This window comes from Homo sapiens, chromosome 11 (genome assembly GCF_000001405.40).
Source record: "Homo sapiens chromosome 11, GRCh38.p14 Primary Assembly".
NCBI classification, from domain to species: domain Eukaryota; kingdom Metazoa; phylum Chordata; class Mammalia; order Primates; family Hominidae; genus Homo; species Homo sapiens.
Window position 1 is genome coordinate 64,171,690 of NC_000011.10, and position 3,412 is coordinate 64,175,101.

Genomic DNA, 3,412 nt, shown 5'->3' on the forward strand with positions numbered 1-3,412 from the left:
GCCGGGCGGGGGGCTGACCCCCCCACCTCCCTCCCGGACGAGGCGGCTGGCCTGGCGTGGGGCTGACACCCCCACCTCCCTCCCGGACAGGGCGGCTGGCCGGGCGGGGGGCTGACCCCCCCACCTCCCTCCCGGATGGGGCGGCTGGTCGGGCGGGGGGCCGACCCCCCCACCTCCCTCCCGGACGGGGCGGCTGGCCGGGCAGAGGGGCTCCTCACTTCCCAGTAGGGGCGGCCGGGCAGAGGCGCCCCTCACCTCCCAGACGGGGCGGCTGGCCGGGCGGAGGGCTGACCCCCCCACCTCCCTCCCGGACAGGGCGGCTGGCCGGGCGGGGGGCTGACCCCCCCACCTCCCTCCCGGACGGGGCGGCTGGCCGGGCAGAGGGGCTCCTCACTTCCCAGTAGGGGCGGCCGGGCAGAGGCGCCCCTCACCTCCCAGACGGGGCGGCTGGCCGGGCGGGGGGCTGACCCCCCCACCTCCCTCCCGGACGGGGCGGCTGGCCAGGCGGGGGGCTGACCCCCCCACCTCCCTCCCGGACGGGGCGGCTGGCCGGGTGGGGGGGCTGACCCCCCCATCTCCCTCCCGGACGGGGTGGCTGGCCGGGCTGAGGGGCTCCTCACTTCCCAGTAGGGGCGGCCGGGCAGAGGCGCCCCTCACCTCCCGGACGGGGCGGCTGGCCGGGCGGGGGGCTGACCCCCCCACCTCCCTCCCGGACGGGGTGGCTGGCCGGGCTGAGGGGCTCCTCACTTCCCAGTAGGGGCGGCCGGGCAGAGGCGCCCCTCACCTCCCGGATGGCACGGCTGGCCGGGCGGGGGGGCTGACCCCCCACCTCCCTCCCGGATGGGGCGGCTGGCCGGGTGGGGGGCTGACCCCCCCCACCTCCCTCCCGGACGGGGTGGCTGCTGGGCGGAGATGCTCCTCACTTCCCAGATGGGGTGGCTGCCGGGCGGAGAGGCTCCTCACTTCTCAGACGGGGCAGCTGCCGGGCGGAGGGGCTCCTCACTTCTCAGACGGGGTGGTTGCCAGGCAGAGGGTCTCCTCACTTCTCAGACGGGGCGGCCGGGCAGAGACGCTCCTCACCTCCCAGACGGGGTCTCGGCCGGGCAGAGGCGCTCCTCACATCCCAGATGGGGTGGCGGGGCAGAGGCGCTCCCCACATCTCAGACGATGGGCGGCCGGGCAGAGACGCTCCTCACTTCCTAGATGTGATGGCGGCTGGGAAGAGGTGCTCCTCACTTCCTAGATGGGATGGCGGCCGGGCGGAGACGCTCCTCACTTTCCAGACTGGGCAGCCAGGCAGAGGGGCTCCTCACATCCCAGACGATGGGCGGCCAGGCAGAGACGCTCCTCACTTCCCAGACGGGGTGGCGGCCGGGCAGAGGCTGCAATCTCGGCATTTTGGGAGGCCAAGGCAGGCGGCTGGGAGGTGTAGGTTGTAGTGAGCCGAGATCACGCCACTGCACTCCAGCCTGGGCACCATTGAGCACTGAGTGAACGAGACTCCGTCTGCAATCCCGGCACCTCGGGAGGCCGAGGTTGGCGGATCACTCGCGGTTAGGGGCTGGAGACCGGCCCGGCCAACACAGCGAAACCCTGTCTCCACCAAAACCAGTCAGGCGTGGCGGCGCGTGCCTGCAATCGCAGGCACTCGGCAGACTGAGGCAGGAGAATCAGGCAGGGAGGATGCAGTGAGCCGAGATGGCAGCAGTACAGTCCAGCTTCGGCTCCGCATGAGAGGGAGACCGTGGGGAGAGGGAGAGCGAGAGGGAGACGGAGAGCGAGAGGGAGACGGAGTTTTTTTTTTTTTTTTTTTTTTTAAGAGATTGGGTCTCACTGTGTTGCCAAGGCTGGTCTCAAACTCCTGGGCTCAAGCAATCTTCCTGCTTCAGCCTTCCAAGGTGTTAGGGTTACAGGCATGAGCCACTGTGCCCAGCCAAGCAACTCTTATATACTAATAAACTTATAAATCTGGCAAATCAGTTATCTTAAATATTCAATCCTGTTTCCAAACTTAGATCCTCTTAGACTGTCACAGTTATCTACTGCTTTGTAATGAGTCACTGAAAATGTACTGGCTTAACATAACAACAGTTCTAAGTCAGCAGTTTGGGCTGAGCTAAGCTAGCCGGTTCATCTGCTGGTGTCACTGGGTCACTCTTGTACCTGCAGCTATAGTCATCTGACAACCCAACTGGGGTTGGGGGTCCAAGGTGGTCTCACTCACATGACTGATGGTTGGTGCTGGCTGTCAGCTGAGGCCCCTTGGCTCTGCTCCACATGGTCTCACCTTTCAAGGTGGCAGAGCCAGCCAGAGGAGCAGATACACCACCACAGCAGGGCTGAAGTTGCAGTGACATTCAGGACCACAGTACAGTTAGGGTTTTCCTGCTACTGGTCTGAGATTTAAGACCAGAGCAGGACCCAGGAGAATTCTACCATATCTAAAGGGATCCCCAGATCCACTCCTCTCCCCTGGGACTTAATGATAAAGTCTGATGCATCACTGTTTCCTGAGAGTCTTAAGTGGCAGCCCTCCCCCATTTTTACCCTGCCATCTTTCTACTTTTTATAGCCTCATTTGGGTAGATAAGCGTCCGTCCCTCCAGCTCTCAGGTCCTCCTGTCGTCTTCTCTGATGACAATTTTGCATTCCACCCTCATCCAGGTTGTACTACTGTCTTCATATCTCACTTTATTACTTGCCTATGTTTCATTTTACTATCCGTTTCATTGGCCATATTGTACAGTCATTATGTTGAGAGGTATATAAGGGAAGGATGGATTACAAGGTATTAAATGTCCAGAGCTTGCAGCTATAAACCAGGAGCCTGGAAAACAGAGGATGCCCCTCCACCTGATTTTTTTTTTTTTTTTGAGATGGAGTCTTACTCTGTTGGCCAGGCTGGAGTGCAGTGGTACGATCCTGGTCCACTGCAACCTCCGCCTCCCAGGTTCAAGTGATTCTCCTGCCTCAGCCTCCCGAGTAGCTGGGACTACAGGCGCGTGCCACCACGCCCAGCTAACTTTTATATTTTTGTAGAGACGAGGTTTTGCAATGTCGGCCAGCCTGGTCTCGAACTCCTGACTTCAGGTGATCCACCCACGTTGCCCTCCCAAAGTGCTGGGATTACAGACGTGAGCCACCGTGCCCAGCCTCTATGTGACGTTTGGCAGACTGATCTGAAGACCATGTCGGCTGTCTGGGAAAGTCCTCAGTGATCTTGAGAGGGCCAGACAGATACTGAGTGTTCTTATCCCACGCCACCCTCCCCAGGGGAAGGGCCTTAGTGGGCCAGGGGGTTTCGTTCCTGGAGCCAGCAGAGGGAGGGCTTCAGCTGCCCCTACTCTGACTTCAGAGAAGGCCCAGGAGGGAGGTAGATGCTTCAGGGACATTTGGATTGAAGTGCACAAAA